The sequence below is a fragment of the Homo sapiens genome, chromosome 6, assembly GCF_000001405.40.
Source record: "Homo sapiens chromosome 6, GRCh38.p14 Primary Assembly".
Taxonomy (NCBI): domain Eukaryota; kingdom Metazoa; phylum Chordata; class Mammalia; order Primates; family Hominidae; genus Homo; species Homo sapiens.
This window is the reverse complement of record NC_000006.12, coordinates 156,655,018-156,678,214: the sequence shown is the minus strand read 5'-3', so window position 1 is coordinate 156,678,214 and position 23,197 is coordinate 156,655,018. Positions and strand designations below refer to the sequence as shown.

At 42.2% G+C, this 23,197-nt stretch overlaps 1 pseudogene, besides 3 other annotated features; it reads right to left on the bottom strand.

The window, feature by feature from the left end:
* Positions 1-15,578: 15,578 nt before the first annotated feature.
* On the bottom strand, positions 15,579-16,259 carry H3P28 (H3 histone pseudogene 28; annotated as a pseudogene).
* Positions 20,148-20,661: an enhancer, noted in NCBI's record as "H3K4me1 hESC enhancer chr6:156978688-156979201 (GRCh37/hg19 assembly coordinates)". NCBI's record gives its function as "activates a minimal SCP1, AML or CMV promoter by ChIP-STARR-seq in naive H9 embryonic stem cells {active_cell/tissue: H9 hESC(naive)}" and the evidence as "EXISTENCE:reporter gene assay evidence [ECO:0000049][PMID:30033119]".
* Positions 20,662-21,176: an enhancer, noted in NCBI's record as "H3K4me1 hESC enhancer chr6:156978173-156978687 (GRCh37/hg19 assembly coordinates)". NCBI's record gives its function as "activates a minimal SCP1, AML or CMV promoter by ChIP-STARR-seq in naive H9 embryonic stem cells {active_cell/tissue: H9 hESC(naive)}" and the evidence as "EXISTENCE:reporter gene assay evidence [ECO:0000049][PMID:30033119]".
* Positions 22,101-22,815: an enhancer, noted in NCBI's record as "OCT4-NANOG-H3K4me1 hESC enhancer chr6:156976534-156977248 (GRCh37/hg19 assembly coordinates)". NCBI's record gives its function as "activates a minimal SCP1, AML or CMV promoter by ChIP-STARR-seq in naive H9 embryonic stem cells {active_cell/tissue: H9 hESC(naive)}" and the evidence as "EXISTENCE:reporter gene assay evidence [ECO:0000049][PMID:30033119]".

Genomic DNA, 23,197 nt, shown 5'->3' with positions numbered 1-23,197 from the left:
TGGAAAACCTTAAGAAGAAAGGGTCGAAGAAACGTAAAGTGTTACAGGGTCCAAATTCAGTTGCTTGGGACCTGCGACTGTAATCTCGGAGACCTGCTGGCATTGCCAAATTAAGCCACAATTTTAGAGTTGACTCCATCTGAGATAAAATCCTAGCTCTGGCACTTATTAACTTTTTAAACAAATTGGTAAATTTTACATTTTAGGGCAGTTTTAGGTTCACGGAAAAATTGAGCTTAAAGTACAGAGAGTTTCCACATACCCCGTCCCCATACACACGTACCTTCCCCACTATTGACATCTCCCAACACAGTGGTACATTCGTCACACTTTGTGAACTTACATTGACATGTTAATATCACCCAAAGTCCATATTTTACATTAGGCTTCACTTTTGGTTTGTACATCCTATGGGTTTTGACATGTGTATAATGACATGCATCCACCATGGTAGTGTTATACAGAAGAGTTTCACTGCTCTAGAATTCCTGTATGCTCTCCTTGTTCATCTCTCCCTTCTTCCTAATCCCTGGAAACCATTTGTCTTTTTACTCCATTGTTTTTCCTTTTCCAGAATATTATGTAGTTGGAATCACCCAACTCGTGGCCTTTTCAGATTGACTTCTTTCACTTGTAAAATGCATTCAAGGCCGGGCGCGGTGGCTCACGCCTGTAATCCCAGCACTTTGGGTGGCTGAGGCGGGTGGATCGTGAGGTGAGGAGAGTGAGACCATCCTGGCCAGCTTGGTGAAACCCCATCTCTACTAAAATACAAAAAATTAGCCGGCATGGTGGTGAGCCCCTCTAGTCCCAGGTACTTGGGAGGCTGAGGCAGGGGAATTGCTTGAACCCGGGAGGCGGAGATTGCAGTGAGCTGAGATCATGCCACTGCACTCCAGCCTGGTGACAGAGCGAGATTCCATCTCAAAAAAAAAAAAAAAAAAAAAATGCATTCAGGCTTCCTTCATATATTTGCATGGCTTGATAGCTCTTTTTGTTGTTGTTGTTGTTGCTAAATAATATTCCATTGTCTGGATGCACCTCAGTTTATTTATTTATTTATCTACTGAAGGACATCTTGGTTGCTTCCAAGTTTTGGCAATTGTGAATAAAGCTGCTATAAACATTCATGTGCATAAACATAAGTTTTCACTTAATTTGGGTAAATACTAAAGATTGCTAGATCATATGATAAGAGTGTATTTAGTTTTGTAAGAAACTGCCAAACTGTCTTCCAAAGTGGATATTTTGCATTCCCATGAGCAAAGAAGGAGAGTTCCTTTTGCTCCACATCGTCACCAGCATTTGGTGTTGTCAGTGTTTTGGATTTTGGCCATTTTAATAGGTATATAGTGGTATCTCATTTTTATTTTAACTTGCAATGTCCTAATGACATGTGGTGTTGAACGTATTTTCATATGCTTATTTGCCATCTGTGTATCTTCTCTGGTGAGTTATCTGTTCAGGCTTTTCACCCATTTTTTAATCAGGTTGTTCTTTTTTTATTGTTTAATTTTAAGAGTTCTTTGTGTATTTTGGGTAACAGTCCTTCATCAGATGTGTCTTTTGCAGGCCAGGTGTGGTGGCTCACACCTGTAATCCTAGCATTTTGGGAGGCCAAGGTGGGCAGATTGCCTGAGCTCAAAAGTTGAAGGCCAGCCTGGGCAACATGGTGAAACCCTGTCTCTGCTAAAATACAAAAAATTAGCTGGGCGTGGTGGCATGTGCCTGTAGTCCCAGCTACTCGGGAGGCTGAGGCATGAGGATTGCTTGAACCTGGGAAGCAGAGGTTGCGGTGAGACGAGATTGCACCACTGCACTCCAGCCTGGTTGACAGAGCGAGACTCTGTCTCAAAAAAAAAAAAAAAATTTGTCTTTTGCAAATTTTTTCACCCAGTGTGTGGCTTGTCTTTTTATTCTCTTAATATTGTCCTTCATAGAGCAGGAGTTTTACATATTTAAAATTGATACATCATTGTTGTATACGTTTTGGGGTGACATGTGGTATTTTGATACATATATACAATGTCAGGGCAATTAAGCAACTGGGATATCCATCACCTCAAACACGTAACTCTTCTCTGTGTTGGGAACATTACAATTCTTCTCTTCTCACTGTTTTGAAATATATAATAAATTATTGTTAACTATAATTTTCCTAGTATACTATCAAATACTAGAACTTGTTCCTTCTATCTAACTACATTTTTGTACTCATTAACCAACTTCCCTTCATTCCTCCCACCCTATTACCCTTCCCATCCTCTGATAACCACTGTTCTACTCTCTACCTCCATGAGATCTGCTTTTTTGGCTCCCACATTTGAGTGAGAACATGTGATATTTGTCTTTCTGTACCTGGCTTACTTAACATAATGACTTCCATTCCATCCATGTTGTTGCAAAAGACAGGACTTCATTCTTTTTTATGGCTGAATAATATTCCAGTGTGTGTATGTACCACATTTTCTTTATCCTTTCATCTGTTGATTGACACTTAGGTTGATTCCATATCTTGGCTATTGTGAATAGTGCTGCAAGAAACATGCAAGTGCAGATATCAGTTTGATTTACTGATTTCCTTTCTTTTGGACGCATACCTAGCAGTGGGATTACTGGGTTGTATGGTAGCTCTATTTTCAGTGTTTTGAGAAACCTCCATATTGTTCTCCATAGTGGCTGTACTTTACATTCCCACCTACAGTGCATGATGGTTACTCTTTCTACACATCCTCACCAGCATGTTATGCCTTCTTGATAAAAGACATTTTAACAAGCAAGATGATATCTCATTGTACTTTCGATTTGCATTTCTGTAAAGGTTAGTGATGCTGAGCATTTTCTCATATACCCAGTTGTCATTTGTATGTCTTCTTTTGAGAAATGCCTATTCAAATCTTTTGCCCATGTTTTAATTGGATTTTTTTTTCCTATTGATTTGTGTGAGCTCTTTATGCATTCTGGTTATTAATTCCTTGTCAGATGGGTAGTGTGCAAATATTTTCTCCCATTTGGTAGGCTGTCACTTCACTTTGTTGATTGTTTCCTTTGCTGTGTGGAAGCTTTTTAGCTTGGTGTGATCCCATTTATTTATTTTTGCTTTTGTTGCCTGTGCTTTTGAACTCTTACTCAAGAAATCTTTGCCCAAACCAACGTCCTGGAGGGTTTCCCCAATGTTTTCTTCTAGTAGTTTCATAGTTTTAGGTTTTGGAGTCAAGTCTTTAATCCATTTTGATTTGATTTTTTTTAATGGTGAGAGATAGATAGGAGTCTAGTTTCACTCTTCTTCCTATGGATACCCAGTTTTCCCAGGACCATTTATTAAAGAAACTACCCCTCCCTTAGTGTATGTTCTTGGCACTTTGGCTGAAAATAAGTTGGCTGTAAGTGCATGGATTAATTTTTGGTTTCTCTATTCTGTTCCATTGGTCTATGTGTCTGTTTTTATTGCAGTACCATGTGGTTTTGGTTACTGTAGCTTTGTAGTATAATTTGAAGTCAGGCAGAGTGATAGCTCTAGCTTTGTTCTTTTTGCTCTAGATTGCTTTAACTATTTGGGGTCTTTTGTGGTTTCATATGAATTTTAGGATTGTTTTTCTATTTCTGTAAAGAATGTCATTGGTATTCTGGTAGATTCAATGCAATATGTAGATTGCTTTGGGTAGTATGGATATTTTAACAATGTTGATTCTTGCGATCCACAAACATGTCATATCTTTCCATTTTGGTGTCTTCCTCAATTTCTTTCATCAGCATTTTATAGTTTTCATTGATGAGAACTTTCACTTCTTGAGTTAAGTTTATTTCTAGGTATGAGGACTTTCACTTCTTCAGTTAAGTTTATTTTTAGATATTTTATTTTATTTGTAGCGATTGAAAATGGAATTACTTTCTTAGTTTCTTTTTCAGACTGTTTGCTATTGGCATATAGAAATGCTACTGATTCTTGTATGTTGATTTTGAATCCTGCAACTTTACTGAATTTGCTTTTTGGTGCTAATAGTTTTGGGTGGATGGAGTCTTTAGGTTCTTCTATATATAAGATCCCATCATCTGCAAACGAAGATAACTTGACTTCTTCCTTTCCAGTTTGGATTCCCTTTATATCTTTTTCTTGTCTAATTGCTCTGGCTAAGACTTCTAGTGCTGTGTTGAGTAAAATTGGTGAAAGGGGGCATCCTTGTCTTGTTCCAGATTTTAGAGTAAAGGCTTTCAGTTTTTCCTTATTCAGTATGATAACAACTGTGGGTTTGTCATATATGGCTTTTATTGTGTTGGAGTATGTTCTTTCTATAACCAGTTTGTTAAGGTTTTTATCACGGAAAGATGTTGAATTTTATTGAATGTCTTTTCAGCATGTATTGAAATGGTCATGTGGTTTTAGTCATTCATTCTGTTGATATGATTGATTTGCATATGTTGAACCCTCCATGCATCCCTGGGATAAATCCCAACTGATCATGATGAATGATCTTTTTAATGTGTTGAATTCAGTTTGCTAATATTTTGTTGAAGATTTTTGTTGACTTTTAAATATTCACCTTTATCCAGCAACCTCACTATAATCACTTTTTAGTTCTAGAAGGGTTTTTTTTTCATCTTTTAAAAAAATTTTCTAGACAATCATGTAATCTGTGAATGAATACAGTTTTATTTCTTCCTTCACAATCTGCATACCTTTTATTTCCTTTAATTGTCTTGTTGCATTAGCTAGGGCTTCCAGTATAGTGTTGAAAATCAGTGGTGAGAGGGGACATCCTTGCCTGTTCATGATCTTAGTGGGAAAGTTCTGAGTTTCTCATCATTAAGTATGATGTTAGCTGTAGGTTTTTGGTAGATGTTCTTTATCATGTTGAGGAGCTTCTCTCTATTCCTAGTTTGCTGAGAGTTTTAATCATAAATGGGTATTGGATTTTGTCAAATGGTTTTCCTGCATCTATTGATACGTTTATGTGATTTTTCTTCTTTAGCCTGTTGATGTGATGGATTACATTAACAGATTTTTGAATAGTAAACTGGTCTTGCATACCTGGGATAAATTCCACTCAGTTGTGCATAATTCTTTTTGTACGTTGTTGGATTTGATTTGCTAATATTTCGTTGAGGATTTTTGCTTCTGTGCTCTTGAGAGGTGTTGGTCTGTAGATTTCTTTTCTTGTAATGTCTTTGTCTGATTTTGGTATTGGGGTAATACTGACCTCATAGAATGAGTTAGGAAGTATTCTCTCTGTTTCCACCTTCTGGAAGAGATTATATCTATATTATAAATTATATAGGTATAATTTCTAATTTAACTATTTGGTAGAATTCACCAGTGAACCCATCTGGGTTTGATGGTTTCACTCTTACAAGGTGCTTTATACAAGGACATTTTAAATTATTGATTCAATTTCTTTAATAAGTATAGGTCTATACAGATTGTCTCTTTATTCTTGTGTGAGTTTTGGCAGATTGTGCCTTTTAAGAACTTAGTACATTTCATCTAGGTTATAAAATTTGTGAGTGGGGGTTGATCATAATATTCCTTTATTATCCTTTTAAAGTTCATGGGATCTGTAGTGACATTCTCTCTTTCATTTGCAATACTAGTAATTTGTGTTTTCTCTTTCTCTTTTTAAAAAAATTTAGTCTGTCTAGAGGTTTATCAATTTTATCGATCTCTCCAAAGGACAAGATTTTACTACTGGTTGCTTTTCTCTATGATGATGATGATGATGATGATGATGATTATTATTATTATTATTATTTGATTATTATTATTTTTTTGAGATGGAGTCTCACTCTGTAGCCCAGGATGGAGTTCAGTGGCATGAACTTGGCTCACTGCAACCTCCGCCTCCTGGGTTCAAGTGATTCTCCTGCCTCAGCCTCCCAAGTAGCTGGGATTACAGGCGCCCACCACCACGCCTGGCTGATTTTTTTTATTTTTAGTAGAGATGGGGTTTCACCATCTTGGCCAGGCTGGTCTCGAACTTCTGACCTCGTGATCCACTTGCCTCAGCCTCCCAGAGTGCTGGGATTACAGGTGTGAGCCACTGTGCCCAGCCATAGTTTCCATTCTTTTAAATTTGTTAAGATATATTTTATGTCCTAAGATAGAACAGAATGTGGCCTATGTTGGAGAATGTTCCATGTGAACTTGAGAAAAATGTGTAATTTGCTATTGTTGGATGAAGTAGTCTATAGATGTCAATTATATCCAGTTGATTGATGGTGCTGTTGAGTTCAGCTACGTCCTTACTGATTTTATTTTTATGCCTGTTGGATCTGTCCATTTCTGATAAAGGTGTGTTAAAGTGTCCAAATATAATAGTGCTTTTATCTATTCTGCCTTGCAGTTTGATCAGTTTTTGCCGCATGTATTTTGGCACTCTGTTAGGTGCATGTACATTAAGGATTGTTATGTCTTCTCTGAGTATTGACTTCTCAATTATCATTATCATTACATAATGTCCCTCTTTATTCCTGATAACTTTCTTTGCGCTGAAATCTGTTCTGTTGAAATTAATATAACTACTCTCACTTTCCCTGGATTAGTGTTGGAATGGTAAATCTTTCTTCATCCCTTTACTTCTAATCTACTTATGTATTTATGTTTAAAGTGGGTTTCTTGTATACAACATGTAGTTGGGTCATATTTTATTTTATTTTATTTTATTTTATTATACTTTAAGTTCTAGGGTACATGTGCACAATGTGCAGGTTTGTTACATAGGTATACATGTGCTGTGTTGGTTTGCTGCACCCTTTAACTCGTCATTTACATTAGGTATTTCTCCTAATGCTATCCCTCCCCTAGCCCCCCACCCCACGACTGGCCCCGGTGTGTGACGTTCCCCGCCCTGTGTCCAAGTGTTCTCATTGTTCAGTTCCCACCTATGAGCGAGAACATGCGGTGTTTGATTTTCTGTCCTTGCGATAGTTTGCTGAGAATGATGGTTTCCAGCTTCATCCATGTCCCTGCAAAAGACATGAAGTCATCCTTTTTTATGGCTGCATAGTATTTCATGATGTATATGTGCCACATTTTCTTTCTTTTTTTTTTTTTTTTAATTGATCATTCTTGGGTGTTTCTCACAGAGGGGGATTTGGCAGGGTCATAGGACAATAGTGGAGGGAAGGTCAGCAGATAAACAAGTGAACAAAGGTCTCTGGTTTTCCTATGCAGAGGACCCTGCGGCCTTCCGCAGTGTTTGTGTCCCTGGGTACTTGAGATTAGGGAGTGGTGATGACTCTTAACGAGCATGCTGCCTTCAAGCATCTGTTTAACAAAGCACATCTTGCACCGCCCTTAATCCATTTAACCCTGAGTGGACACAGCACATGTTTCAGAGAGCACAGGGTTGGGGGTAAGGTCACTGATCAACAGGATCCCAAGGCAGAAGAATTTTTCTTAGTACAGAACAAAATGAAAAGTCTCCCGTGTCTACCTCTTTCTACACAGACACGGCAACCATCCGATTTCTCAATCTTTTCCCCGCCTTTCCCCCCTTTCTATTCCACAAAACCGCCATTGTCATCATGGCCCCTTCTCAATGAGCTGTTGGGTACACCTCCCAGACGGGGTGGTGGCTGGGCAGAGGGGATCCTCACTTCCCAGTAGGGGCGGCCGGGCAGAGGCGCCCCTCACCTCCCGGACTGGGCGGCTGGCCGGGCGGGGGGCTGACCCCCCCCACCTCCCTCCCGGACGGGGCGGCTGGCCAGGCGGGGGGCTGACCCCCCCACCTCCCTCCCGGACGGGGCGGTGGCCGGGCCGGGGGCTGACCCCCCCACCTCCCTCCCGGACGGGGCGGCTGGCCGGGCGGGGGGCTGACCCCCCCACCTCCCTCCCAGAAGGGGCGGCTGGCCTGGGGGGGGCTGACCCCCACCTCCCTCCCGGATGGGGTGGCTGCCGGGCGGAGACGCTCCTCACTTCCCAGACAGGGTGGCTGCCGGTCAGAGGGGCTCCTCACTTCTCATATGGGGCGGTTGCCAGGCGGAGGGTCTCCTCACTTCTCAGACAGGGCAGCCGGGCAGAGACGCTCCTCACCTCCCAGACGGGGTCGCGGCCAGGTAGAGGCGCTCCTCACTTTCCAGACTGGGTAGCCAGGCAGAGGGGCTCCTCACGTCCCAGACGATGGGCAGCCAGGCAGAGACGCTCCTCACTTCCCAGACGGGGTGGCGGCCGGGCAGAGGCTGCAATCTCGGCACTTTGGGAGGCCAAGGCAGGCGGCTGGGAGGTGGAGGTTGTAGCGAGCCGAGATCACGCCACTGCACTGCAGCCTGGGCAGCATTGAGCACTGAGTGAACCAGACTCCGTCTGCAATCCCGGCACCTCGGGAGGCCGAGGCTGGCGGATCACTCGCGGTTAGGAGCTGGAGACCAGCCCGGCCAACACAGCGAAACCCCGTCTCCACCAAAAAAATACGAAAACCAGTCAGGCGTGGCGGCGCGCGCCTGCAATCGCAGGCACTGGGCAGGCTGAGGCAGGAGAATCAGGCAGGGAGGCTGCAGTGAGCCGAGATGGCAGCAGTACAGTCCAGCTTCGGCTTGGCATCAGTGGGAGACTGTGGAGAGGGAGAGGGAGAGGGAGAGGGAGAGGGAGAGGGAGAGCGTGCCACATTTTCTTAATCCAGTCTATCATTGATGGACATTTGGGTTGGTTCCAAGTCTTTGCTATTGTGAATAGTGCCACAATAAACATATGTGTGCATGTGTCTTTATAGTAGCATGATTTATAATCCTTTGGGTATATACCCAGTAATGGGATGGCTGGGTTAAATGGTATTTCTAGTTCTAGATCCTTCAGGAATCACCACACTGTCTTCCACAATGATTGAACTAGTTTATACTCCCACCAACGGTGTAAAAGTGCTCCTATTTCTCCACATCCTCTCCAGCATCTCTTGTTTCCTGACTTTTTAATGATCACCATTCTAACTGGTGTGAGACGGTATGGTTTTGATTTGCATTTCTCTGATGACCAGTGATGATAAGCATTTTTTCATGTGTCTGTTGGCTGCATAAATGTCTTCTTTTGAGAAGTGTCTGTTCATATCCTTTGCCCACTTTTTGATGGGGTTGTTTTTTTCTTGTAAATTTAAGTTCTTTGTAGATTCTGGATATTAGCCCTTTGTCAGATGAGTAGATTGCAAAAATTTTCTCCCTTTCTGTAGGTTGCCTGTTCACTTTGATGGTAATTTCTTTTGCTGTGCAGAAGCTCTTTAGTTTAATTAGATCCCATTTGTCTATTTTGGCTTTTGTTGCCATTGCTTTTGGTGTTTTACTCTTGAAGTCCTTGCCCATGCCTATGTCCCGAATGGTATTACCTAGGTTTTCTTCTAGGGTTTTTATGGTTTTAGGTCTAACATGTAAGTCTTTAATCCATCTTGAATTAATTTTTGTATAAGGTGTAAGGAAGGGATCCAGTTTCAGCTTTCTACGTATGACTAGCCAGTTTTCCCAGCACCATTTATTAAATAGGGAATCCTTTCCCCATATCTTGTTTTTGTCAGGTTTGTCAAAGATCAGATGGTTGCAGATGTGTAGTGTTATTTCTGAGGCTTCTTTTCTGTTCCATTGGTCTATATCTCTGTTTTGGTACCAGCACTATGCTGTTTTGGTTACTGTAGCCTTGTAGTATAGTTTGGAGTCAGGTAGTGTGATGCCTCCAGCTTTATTCTTTTTGCTTAGGATTGTCTTGGCAATGTGGGCTCTTTTTTGGTTCCATATGAACTTTAAAGTAGTTTTTTCCAATTCTGTGAAGAAAGTCTTTGGTAGCTTGATTGGGATAGCATTGAATCTATAAATTACCTTGGGCAGTATGGCCATTTTCATGATATTGATTCTTCCTATCTATGAGAATGGAATGTTCTTCCATTTGTTTGTGTCCTCTTGTATTTTGTTGAGCAGTGGTTTGTAGTGTTCTTTGAAGAGGTCCTTCACATCCCTTGTATGTTGGATTCCTAGGTATTTTATTCTCTTTGTAGCAATTGTGAATGGGAGTTCACTCATGATTTGGCTCTCTGTTTGTTTGTTATTGGTGTATAGGAATGCTTGTGATTTTTGCACAATGATTTTGTATTCTGAGACTTTGCTGAAGTTGCTTATCAGCTTAAGGAGATTTTGAGCTGAGATGATGGGGTTTTCTAAATATACAATCATGTCATCTGCAAACAGGGACAATTTAAATTCCTTTTTTCCTAATTGAATACCCTTTATTTCCTTCTCCTGCCTGATTGCCCTAGCCAGAACTTCCAACACTATGTTGAACATGAATGGTGAGAGAGGGCATCCCTGTCTTGTGCCAGTTTTTGAAGGGAATGCTTCCAGTTTTTGCCCATTCAGTATGATATTGGCTGTGGGTTTCTCATAAATAGCTCTTATTGTTTTGAGATACATTCTATCAACACCTAGTTTATTGAGAGTTTTTAGCATGAAGGGCTGTTGAATTTTGTTGAAGGCCTTTTCTGCATCTATTGAGATAATCATGTTGTTTTTGTTTTTGGTTCTGTTTATGTGATGGATTACATTTATTGATTTGCATTTGTTGAACCAGCCTTGCATCCCAGGGATGAAGACGACTTGATCATGGTGGATAAGCTTTTTGATGTGCTGCTGGATTCAGTTTGCCAGTATTTTACTCAGAAGTTTTGCATCGATGTTCATCAGGGATATTGGTCTAAAATTCTCTTTTTTTTTTGTTGTGTCTCTGCCAGGCTTTGGTATCAGGATGATGCTGGCCTCATCAGATGAGTTAGGGAGGATTCCCTCTTTTTCTATTGATTGGAATAGTGGTTGGAATAGTTTCAGAAGAAATGGTACCAGCTCCTCTTTGTACCTCTGGTAGAATTTGGCTGTGAATCCATCTGGTCCTGGACTTTTTTTGGTTGGTAGGCTATTAATTATTGCCTCAATTTCAGAGACTGTTATTAGTCTATTCAGAGATTCAACTTCTTCCTGATTTAGGCTTGGGATGGTGTATGTGTCAAGGAATTTGTCCATTTCTTCTAGATTTTCTAGTTTATTTGTGTTGAGGTGTTTATAGTATTCTCTGATGGCAGTTTGTATTTCTGTGGGATCGGTGGTGATATCTCCTTTATCATTTTTTATTTTTTATTTATTTTTCTTTTTGAGATGGAGTCTAGCTCTGTTGCCCAGGCTGGAGTGCGGTGGCGCGATCTCGGCTCACTGCAAGCTCTGCCTCCTGGGTTCACGCCATTCTCCTGCCTCAGCCTCCCTAGTAGCTGGGACTACAGATGCCCACCACCACTCTAGGCTAATTTTTTTTTTGTATTTTTAGTAGAGACGGGGTTTCACCATGTTAGCCAGGATGGTCCCGATCTCCTGACCTCATGATCCACCCGCCTCAGCCTCCCAAAGTGCTGGGATTACGGCCGTGAGCCACCACACCCAGCCGCCTTTATCATTTTTTATTGCTTCTATTTGATTCTTCTCTCTTTTCTTCTTTATTAGTCTTGCTAGCAGTCTATGAATTTTGTTGATCTTTTCCAAAAACCAGCTCCTGGATTCATTGATTGTTTGAAGGGTTTCTTTGTGTCTCTATCTCCTTCAGTTCTGCTCTGATCTTAGTTATTTCTTACCCTCTGCTAGCTTTTGTATTTGTTTGCTCTTGCTTCTCTAGTTCTTTTAATTGTGATGTTGGGTGTCAATTTTAGATCTTTCCTGCTTTCTCTTGTGGTCCTTTAGTGCTATAAATTTCCCTCTACACCCTGCTTTAAATGTATCCCAGAGATTCTGGTCTGTTGTGTCTTTGTTCTCATTGGTTTCAAAGAACATCTTTATTTCTGATTTCATTTTGTTATTTACCCAGTAGTCATTCAGGAGCAGGTTGTTCAGTTTCCATGTAGTTGTGTGATTTTGAGTGAATTTCTTAATCCTGAGTTCTAATTTGATTGCACTGTGGTCTGAGAGACAGTTTGTTGTGATTTCTGTTCTTTTACATTTGCTGAGGAGTGCTTTACTATCATCTATGTGGTCAATTTTGGAATAAGTGAGATGTGGTGCTGAGAAGAATGTATATTCTGTTGATTTGGGATAGAGAGTTCCATAGATGTCTATTAGGTCTGCTTGGTGCAGAGCTGAGTTCAAGTCCTGGATATCCTTGTTAACCTTCTGTCTTGTTGATCTGTCTAATATTGACAGTGGGGTGTTAAAGTCTCCCATTATTATTGTGTGGGAGTCTAAGTCTCTTTGTAGGTCTCTAAGGACTTGCTTTATGAATCTGGGTGCTCCTGTATTGGGTGCATATATATTTAGGATAGTTAGCTCTTCTTGTTGAATTGATCCCTTTACCATTATGTAATGGCCTTCTTTGCCTCTTTTGATCTTTGTTGGTTTAAAGTCTGTTTTATCGGAGACTAGGATTGCAATCCCTGCTTTTTTTTGCTTTCCATTTGCTTGGTAGATCTTCCTCCATCCCTTTATTTTGAGCCTATGTGTGTCTCTGCATATGAGATGGGTCTACTGAATACAGCATACTGATGGGTCTTGACTCTTTATCCAATTTGCCAGTCTGTGTCTTTTAATTGTGGCATTTAGCCCACTTACATTTAAAGCTAATATTGTTATGTGTGAATTTGATCTTGTCATTATGATGTTAACTGGTTATTTTGCCTGTTAGTTGATGCAGTTTCTTCCTAGCATCGATGGTCTTTACAATTTGGCATGTTTTTGCAGTGGCTGGTACTGGTTGTTCCTTTCCATGTTTAGTGCTTCCTTCAGGAGCTCTTGTAAGGCAGGCCTGGTGGTGACAAAATCTCTCAGCATTTGCTTGTCTGTAAAGGTTTTTATTTCTCCTTCACTTATGAAGCTTAGTTTGGCTGGATATGAAATTCTGGCTTGAAAATTCTTTTCTTTAAGAATGTTGACTATTGGCCCCCACTGTCTTCTGGCTTGTAGAGCTTCTGCCAAGAGATCTGCTGTTAGTCTGATGGGCTTCCCTTTGCGGGTAACCCGACCTTTCTCTCTGGCTGCCCTTAACATTTTTTTCCTTCATTTCAACCTTGGTGAATCTGACAATTATGTGTCTTGGAGTTGCTCTTCTCAAGGAGTATCTTTGTGGTGTTCTCTGTATTTCCTGAATTTGAATGTTCACCTGCCTTGCTAGGTTGGGGAAGTTCTCCTGGATAATATCCTGAAGAGTGTTTTCCAACTTGGTTCCATTCTCCCCATCACTTTTGGGTACACCAATCAAACATAGATTTGGTCTTTTCACATAGTCCCATATTTCTTGGAGGCTTTGTTCATTTCTTTTTACTCTTTTTTCTCTAAACTTCTCTTCTCACTTTATTTCATTAATTTGATCTTCAATCACTGATACCCTTTCTTCCACTTGATCGAATTGGCTACTGAAGCTTGTGCATGCATCACGTAGTTCTTGTGCCGTGGTTTTCAGCTCCCTCAGGTCATTTAAGATCTCTACACTGTTTATTTTAGCTAGCCATTCTTCTAATCTTTTTTCAAGGTTTTCAGCTTCCTTGTGATGGTTTTGAACATCCTCCTTTAGCTTGGAGAAGTTTGTTATTACCAACCTTCTGAAGCCTACTTCTGTCAACTCGTCAAAGTCATTCTCTGTCCTGCTTTGTTCCATTGCTGGCGAGGAGCTGCGATCTTTTGGAGGAGAAGAGGCGCTCTGGTTTTTAGAATTTTCAGCTTTTCTGCTCTGGTTTCTCCCCATCTTTGTGGTTTTATCTACCTTTGGTCTTTGATGTTGGTGACCTACAGATGGGGTTTTGGTGTGGATGTCCTTTTTGTTGATGTTGATGCTATTCCTTTCTGTTTGTTAGTTTTCCTTCTAACAGGTTTCTAAGCTCCAGGTCTGTTGGAGTTTGCTGGAGGTCTACTCCAGACACTGTTTGCCTGGGTATCACCAGCGGAGGCCACAGAACAGCAAATATTGCAGAACGGTAAATATTGCTGCCTGATCCTTCCTCTGGAAGCTTTGTCCCAGAGGGGCACCCACCTCTATGAGGTGTCAGTCGGCCCCTACTGGGATGTGTCTCTCCGTTAGTCTACACGGGGGTCAGGGACCCACTTGAGGAGGCAGTCTGTCTGTTCTCAGAGCTCAAACACCATGCTGAAAGAACCACTGCTCTCTTCAGAGCTGTCAGACAGGGATGTTTAAGTCTGAAGAAGTTTCTGCTGCCTTTTGTTCAGCTATGCCCTGCCCCCAGAGGTGGGGTCTACAGAGGCAGTAGGCCTTGTTGAGCTGTGGTGGGCTCTGCCCCATTCTAGCTTCCCTTCCGCTTTGTTTACCTACTCAAGCCTCAGCAATGGCGGACGTCCCTCCCCCTGCCAGGCTGCTACCTTGCAAGTCCATCTCAGACTGCTGCGCTAGCAATTAGCAAGGCTCCATGGGTGTGGGACTCACTGAGCCAGGCGCAGGATATGATCTCCTGGTATGCCGTTTGCTAAGACAGTTGGAAAAGCGCAGTATTTGGGCAGAAGTGCCCCATTTTTCCAGGTACAGTCTGTCATGGCTTCCCTTGGCTAGGAAAGGGAAATCTGACTCCTTGAACTTCCCAGCTGAGGCAACACCCTGCCCTGCTTCAGCTTGCCCTCTGTGGGCTGCACCCACTGTCCAACCAGTCCCAATGAGATGAACCAGGTACCTCAGCTGGAAATGCAGAAATCACCCATCTTCTGTGTTGATCACACTGGGAGCTGCAGACTAGAGCTGTTCCTATTCAGCCATCTTGGAACGGTCCTGGGTCATATGTTTTGATGCACTTTGAATATCTATCTTTTTCTTTTTCTTTTTTTTTTTGAGGCAGGGTCTGGCTCTGTCACCCAGGCTGGAGTGCAGTGCTACGAACTTGGCTTACTGCTGCCTTGACCTCCCAGGCTGAAGTGATCCTCCCACCTCAGCCTCCAGAGAAGTTGGGACTACAGGTGTGTACCAGCATGCTTGGCTAGTTTTTGTATTTTTTTGTAGAGATGAGGTTTTGCCATGTTACTCAGGATGATCTTGAATTCCTGGGCTTAAGAGATCTGCTTGGCTTGGTCTCCCAATATGCTGGGATTAAAGGCCTGAGACACCACACCCAGCCCTTTATTTATGTTTTAAGTGGTGTAGGTAGACCATTGACATTTGAAGTGATTATTGATATAGTTGAATTGATGTCTGCCATATTTGTTATTGTTTTCTATTGGTTGCTCTTGTTCTTTGTTCCTGTTTTTGTCTTCCATACTTTTTTTTGCCTTTTGTAGCTTGTTTTTTAAATTTCTATTTTAATTTTTTAAAGAATTTAATGCATTTTAAAACTTACAGGAACAGCACAGAAGACAGACAATATTAGAAACATGTACTGTCATGTAGGATAACTCAGAATAGTGAATGAATGGGGTCTACTGTATGATAAAAATGCTACAAACACCATTTGCTTGCTGTCCATAGAAGCTGAATTGTTTTAAAAAATCCAAATGCTGGCATTATCGAGAAAAATTTAACAGGTTTGTTTATAATTATTATAAAGTTGAACTGCTGAAACTCGTTCACTGAAACATTTTGGCTTGCATTAATGCCTTGTGTCCCTGCATTTATATTAAAAATTCACACACAAATAAAAATGGAAAAACTGCCAATACCTGATTTAAGTCCTGTATTTTTCCACTCACAGTCATATTCTTAGGTTCCTTTTGACCCCATGGGAAAAAAAAAAAAAACCTAACATTCAGAACCATCACTAACATCACTAACAGGTGGTGAAGAGAATTTTTTTTTTTTTTTTTTTTTTGAGAATGAAATGTTTCCCATCGTAGTGATCTTATCCACGTTCTCCCACATATGGGGCATATTAGCCGGATGTCTTTTGGCACAATTGTTACACGTTTGGCATAGACAGCACACAAGTTAATGTCTTCAGCAAGGCATCGCTTGACTCCTGCAAAGCACCAATAGTTGCGGTCTGGAAGCGCAGATCTGTTTTAAAGTCCTGAGCAATTTCTCACACCAGATGCTGGGAAGGAAGTTTGTGAAACAGGAATTCCTGGACTTCAGATGACGTCTGATTTCCCGGAGTGCCACAGTACCGGACCTGGGACGATGAGGTTCCTTCACCCCTCCGGTAGAGGGCGCACTCTGCGAGCGGCTTTTGCAGCCAGTGGCTTCCTGGGCGCTTTACATCGGTGGCCTTGTGGGCAGTCCGCTTTGTGGGAGAGCAGGTGTGGAGACCTCCTGGCTCTAGCCCCATCTCCTTCATGGAGTGCACAGAGGTAGAGGAGGCACTGGTATTAGCGAAGGTGGGGCGAGAGAGGCTCCTTTTGCAGTTTTAATTAAGCATTTTATATGATTCCATTTTCTTTCCTTTTTCTGCATATCAATTATACCTTTTTTAAAAAATTGGGTTGCCTGGCCGGGCGCGGTGGCTCATGCTTGTAATCCCAGCACTTTGGGAGGCCGAGGCGGGTGGATCACGAGGTCAGGAGATGGAGACCACGGTGAAACCCCATCTCTACTAAAAATACAAAAAAAATTGGTCGGGCGTGGTGGCGGGCGCCTGTAGTCCCAGCTACTAGAGAGGCTGAGGCAGGAGAATGGCGTGAACCTGGGAGGTGGAGCTTGCAGTGAGCCGAGATCGCGCCACTGCACTCCAGCCTGGGCGACAGAGCCAGACTCCATGTCAAAAAAAAAAAAAAAAAATTTGGTTGCCTGAGAGCTCACAATGTACGTATACAATTAATCTAAGTTCACTTTCAAATAACACTATATTGCATCAGGAGTAATGCAAATATCTTTTTAAAAATTTATTTATGTATTTATTTTTTTGAGACAGGGTCTTGCTGTGTCACCCAGGCTGGAGTGCAGTGGAGTGATATTGGCTCACTGTAGTCTCCACCTCCCAGGTTCAAACGATTCTCCTGCCTCAGCCTCCTGAGTAGCGGGGATCACAGGCGTGCACCACCATGCCTGGCTAATTTTTTTCTGTATTTTTAGTAGAGATGGGGTTTCACCATGTTGGCCAGGCTGGTCTCAAACTCCTGACCTCAGATGATCTGCCTGCCCTGGCCTCCCTAAATGTTGGGATTACAGGTGTGAGCCACTGCATCTGGCCACAAATATCACAAAACACAGTCCTAATTCCACTTTTGTGTCCATTGTAGCATTGCTGTCATTCATTTCACTTATACGTAAGCATACAGAAACACACACACATATGCATACACAAGCATGTATACACATACACACAAAAGCATACAGAAATAAATATATTGTTATTATTTTAAACAAGTCATTATCTTTTAGATCAATTAAGAATGAGAAAAATACGTTTTTTTAATTTTGCCTTCACTTATTCCTTCTCTGATGCTCTTCCTTTCCTTTTGCAGATCTGACTTTCTGACCTATATTAGTTTTTTTTTTTCTCTCTGAAGAACTTCTTTTAAAATTTATTGCAAACCAGTGCTATTGGCAACACTTTCCCTCAATTTTTGTTTTTCTGAGAAAGTCTTTATTTCTACTTCACTTTTGAAGGATAATTTTACAGGGTAGGATTTTAGGTTGGTGGTGTTGTTTTTCTTTTTTTCTCTCAACACTAAATATTTCACTCCAGTCTCTTCTTGCTTGCATGTTTCTGAGAAGTCTGATGTAATTCTTATCTTATTCATTCTTATCTTATCTTAGTTCCTCTATAGGTAAGGTGTTTTTTTTTTTAAACTTCTGGCATCTTTCAAGATTTTTTCCTTTTGATTTTTCTGAAGTTTGAATATGATGTGCTCAGATATAGTTTTTTTTTTTTTTTTTTTTTTTTGAGACAGTGTCTTGCTCTGTCGCCCAGGCTGGAGAGCAGTGGTGTGATCTCGGCTCACTGCAAGCTCCACCTTCTGGGTTCATGCCATTCTCCTGCCTCAGCCTCCTGAGTAGCTGGGACTACAGGCGCCCGCCACCACACCCAGCTAATTTTTTTGTAGTTTTAGTAAAGACGGGGTTTCACTGTGTTAGTCAGGATGGTCTCCATCTCCTGACCTCGTGATCTGCCTGCCTCGGCCTCCCAAAGTGCTGGGATTACAGGCGTGAGCCACCAAGCCTGGCCTACTCGGTATAGTTTTTTTCCTTTTTGCATTTATCCTGCTTTATGTTCTCTGGCTTCCTGTGGTTTAGTGTCTGACATTAATTTGAGGGAAATTCACAGTCATTATTGCTTCAAATACTGCTTCTGTTCCTTTCTCTTTTTTCTCCTTCTGGGATTCCCCTTATGCATGTATTACACCTTTTGCAAGTGTCCCATAGTTCTTTGATGTTCTGTTTAGTGTTTTTCAGTCGTTTTTTTCTCTTTGTGTTTCAGTTTGGAAGTTTCTGTTATCATATCCCCCAGCTCAGAGATTTTTTTCTTTGGCCATGTCCAGTCTCCTTGTGAGCATGTCAAAGGCATTCTTCATCTCTGTTACAGTGTTTTTGATCTTTAGTATTTCTTTTTGATTCCTTCGTGGAATTTCCATCTCTATGCCTATATTATCCAAGTGTTTTTACATGTTGTCTACCTAGATTTCTTCAGTAAAGCCCTTTGCATATTAACTCATATGAGGGAGTAGGAGTTGGGATTTTCCCTTGCCCCACGTGGAAGGCTACAGCAGGCTGGGATTGGTTATTTCCCTTCTCCAGGTCTGTTAGGCTCTGAAAAGCACCCGACAGGTGAGGCTCGGGTAAAACAGTTTCTCTTGAGGGCAGGTCTTGTTAGAAGAACAGAATGCTCTGTTTTATCTCAAAATGGTTCCTTTTCTCCTCCCCCTGCTGGAAGCTCAAGAGGGTTTTCTTTCTTTAGTATTCACTGTGCAGCTGCTGGAGCTCCTAAAGGTAAACTTACAGAAGTGTGGGGGCCCCCTGTGACTGGGTCATCCTGGAATTTTTAATTCTCAGACCTGTCCACACTGAGCCTCCAACAATTTATCAATTACAGTCCAGGGTTTTGCACCTTGGTACTGGTTCCCATAGAGGTTTCTGCTCTGGTAATTTGTGATTCTCTGTATCTGCCTGCCTGCCTCTCTAATTTTGGGGCAGCAGTGTGCCCTTGACCTCATTTCTCTGAGGGCTATAAGATGAGTCATTGACTTCACAGTTTGTAAATCTCCTGGCATAGATGCTTGATAGATGGTAGCTGCGGTGGGGGGACTCTCTGGAGCTCAATGTTTCATTTGGGCAGTGGTGTGGGGTTGGAACTTGTCCATGCTCTCTACTCAATGCCCTTATCACTAGGATGCTCAGCGGTTTCCTGGTACCCTTGCTGTTTCCTGGGTTATTGGGGGCGAAGGAGGTACTTTCCTCCTACAGCAACAGTGGCTTCCCAAGCTCCTCTTTGTAGCATCAACTTTTGTCGAACCAGAGGCATGAGTTGACCATCCCACCGTGGGCAGGAAGGCATGAGCTCCCTCCCTTTGGACCAAAGGCTTCAGCTTACCCATGAATCTAAAGAGCAGAGCAACAAAGAGTGACAAGGCAGCAGCAGCAAACCACGGCACAATTTATGGAGCATGGAAAAGACTCTGGAGCTTCCCATTGGTATTTAAGCCACATTCTGAGGCTCAGCGAACAATCACTGTCAGGCACATTATCTTTGAATACAAAGGACAACAAAGTGTAATACAGTCTGCAGTTCAGCCCAACATTCTTGTCGGTAACATTTCCAATTTTTTATTTTTCTCACTAGTTGACAATATTATGATTTCTTCCTACAGGGGATGAAACTGCAAGCCCCTGCCTATTTCCCTGCTTGGCTATTATTTGAGGTTCTATTATAAGCCTCTGGCAGGCCGCCACAGACATATAAACCTTTTTTTTTTCAAGGCTACACACGTGGTACTCAGTTTCCATTCAACTTTTGTCCGCTCTGGTCAGGGATGGTGCTGACGACAGACCCCAAGATCTCAGTAATCTTGGGAATTAGGTTGAGGTTTCAGAACTCGTGATTGCAGAGTCAAATCATGCAGACTTGGCAAAGCCGTCCCTGCCAAACGCCCCTTTTATCTGAATTAAAAAACATGGTGCCAGATTCCAAGCTGTGTACTCATTCCAAAAAGTCTTATGTTTTCTGGCATCATTTAACTTTTAGGTCAACAGAGTTTAAAATATAGCTTTGCCTTTTTCCATTAACACCTAATAAGACCCTGTGTAGTTTTAGAAAAGCACTGTGAATATTACAGTATTTTGTATTTGGGAAAAAAAAACAAAATCTATTTCCTCTTAAAAAAGAACTGAGGAGCAAGTAAGGAAGCAGACTTAGTGTTCATAGTAATATTACATGTTTTTAAGTTAAGGTATCTTTCAAGATAAAAATGCATTTTAAATTATTACTGTTTTGTATTTAGCTGTGGCATGTGGTTTATTCTGCAACTTTAATGACCCTTAAAGGAGTGGGTGATTTTGTGCTTACCTTAAGAGGGCATGGGTTAATAAAGGTTGAAAAGACTGTTGTAGATTTCAGTTTTATTATGAATTCCTTGCTCATTTAAAGTGATAGTTACCATCTACGTCTTTTCTGAGAGAGACACCAAGGTGCAGGCAGGTTCATTACAGAAAAACACAGTATGTTGAAAAAACTCTTTGTTCTGTAAATTGATTGGGCCAAATTTCTGGATTTGAAGGGAATTGGAAGGGAGCTTCGGTGCTATGGAGGGCCCAGCAGAGACAGGGGCATGAGGTGTGGCGATGCTTCGAGCTGCCCCCACATCCGCCTTGCGCTGTGGGTCAGTGTCTGTTTGAAGGAGTCACTGAGTGGGTGAGGGGTGGCCCTGGCTGGTGCTGCAGCCTGTGGTGCTCCTAAGTGGCAGTGACAGCTCATTCAGCAGCAGTGTGACCTTTGGGGGAATGCCTGCCACTCATTTACTTGGGAGAATCCCAGACTTTCAGGCCACAGGCTCCTTGCCTATAAAATGAGAGATATGGATTAGATGATTTGCAGGGTCCCCCTCCAGTCTAAAATGCTATGATTCTATGGAATTAAGCCCATTTGATCTAAGAATGGAACCAAAAACCTTCTGCGTGTGTGTATGATGGAGGAATGGATTGTAATGCAGATAAGATGAAATAGTCCTTTTAGCCTTATTTTTGCCTTTCCCCATCTCAATGGTGTTTTTTTTTTTTCCCCCTCAGTGCATATTATCTGCTCTGTGCTGAGCAGGTTCAGAAAAGTATAAACCATATTCCTTCCCTTAGGATGCTTAAAATTTCATGGAGGAAGTCACTAACACATGAAATAGTAACATGGAGCCACAGATAATTCTTTTTTTTTTTTTTTTGAGACAGGGTCTCATTCTGTTGCCCATGCTGGAGTGCAATGTTTTGATCTCTGCTTACTGCAACCTCCATTTCCCATGCTCAAGCTATCCTCCTGCCTGAGCCTCTACCTCCCAAGTAGTTGGAATTACAGACTCACACCACAACACCCAGCTAATTTTTGTGTATATATATATATATGTGTGTGTGTATATATCTATATATATATTTTGAGATAGGGTCTTACTCTGTTGCCCAGGCTGGAGTACAGTGGCTCAATCTCCACTTACTGCAACCTCTGCCTCCGGGGTTCAAGTGATTCTCCCACCTCAGCCTCTTGAGTAGCTAGGACTACAGGTGTGCACCACCACGCTTGGCTAATTTTTTTATTTTTTTTATTTTTTGGTGGAGACAGGGTTTCACCATGTTGGCCCAGGCTGGTCTTGAACTCCTGACCTCAAGTGATCTGCCTGCCTTGGTCTCCCAATGTTCTGGGATTACAGGCGTGAGCCACCATGCCCAGTCTAATTTTTGTATTTTTTGTAGAGATGGGGTCTAGTCATGTTGCCCAGGCTGGTCTCAAACTCCTGAGCTCAAGCGATCCACCTGCCTTGGCCTCCTAAAGTGCTGGGATTGCAGGCGTGAGCTAATGCACCTGGCTAGCCATATAAAATTCCAGGTGGAAGGGAACTGTGGAGCAGAATTAAGAGGAGCAGGTTCAAGTTTTCACTCCGATACCACCTTGTCGGTGGGGTTGAGCCCCACTACCTCTTTATTATTGCAGTTTACACCTTGGTGTTTCCCCCAGCTCTGCTCATCAGCCTTAGCCTACTCTCCTTTGTTTTTTCTTTGCTTTTGTTTACTAATATATCCCAAGTGCCTAGAACGGTGCCTCAATAAATTAGGCACTGAAATAGACATTTGTTGAATGAATGAATGGATGGATGAGGGAAAGTAGGGACAGAAAGCAGAAACAGAGAGGTGGGATTTAGGTGGGCCTCAAAGGCTGAGCACATACACCTTTGTAGAGAGGGACAAGGCCACCTATAAATGATAGGGCTGCTTATACTGTTAGATTGACAGGTCTCTGTTTTGAGCACTGTTTGTTGAGATGAAACTCCTGGAAAAATCCTGAAGACCCCTGATCCTGTGTTCTCCATGGACACATTAAGCCCCTGCAGAGGCCATTGTGATTGTAAGTGAACTTTTTTACTTTGAACAGTAAGATGTCACTGGGTGGGTCCCCCATGCTGTGGCTCTCTTTCTCTCCAGGCAAGCCATTGTTAGAAATGCCTCTCCGTGCTCAAACAGCAACAGCTGCTCCTGGGCACATCCTGGGCACCTTGCAGAGCAGAGTGAGGTGAGCACTAAGGGACCTGAGGATCTTCCAATCTGGTGGTTCCCCAATGTTGGCTTCACATTAGGATTCCCTAGGGAACTTTTAAAAAATACTGGGGCTTTGGCCTCCACCTCCTCCCCCAGATTCTCACTTAATTAGTCTGGGAAGGAGGGGCCCAGGCACCATAGTTAGTTTACAAGTTCCCCAGGTGATTCTAATACGCAGCCAGGGTCAGAGCCACCAACTACTTCTAGCCCTCTCATTTGATTAGTGAGGGAGCCCAGGCCCAGAGAAATCAAGCGGCTTGTCTAAAGGTGACAGGCTGTTATTACCTTCAGGTGGCCATCAGAGGAGCTGCACAGAATGTCTTTAGACTGACAATTTTCAGTTTGCCAGATTCTATGGCGAATTACATGAATCTAGGCTAGATAATTAAGTCCTAGACACAGAGCTCATATTAGAGATGTGCGAGGTACCTATCTGGCTGATCAGAAGACACGCAATAAAGGCTCAGACGTGTGTACCATGAGGACCCCTGTGTCACAGGTGCCAATAATAAATGACTCAGAACCCTCGATGGACCACAGATAAAGGTGTTGGAAATGATCAACACTGCAGGTCACCAAAGGGAATTGTCCTGGCTTGGCTGT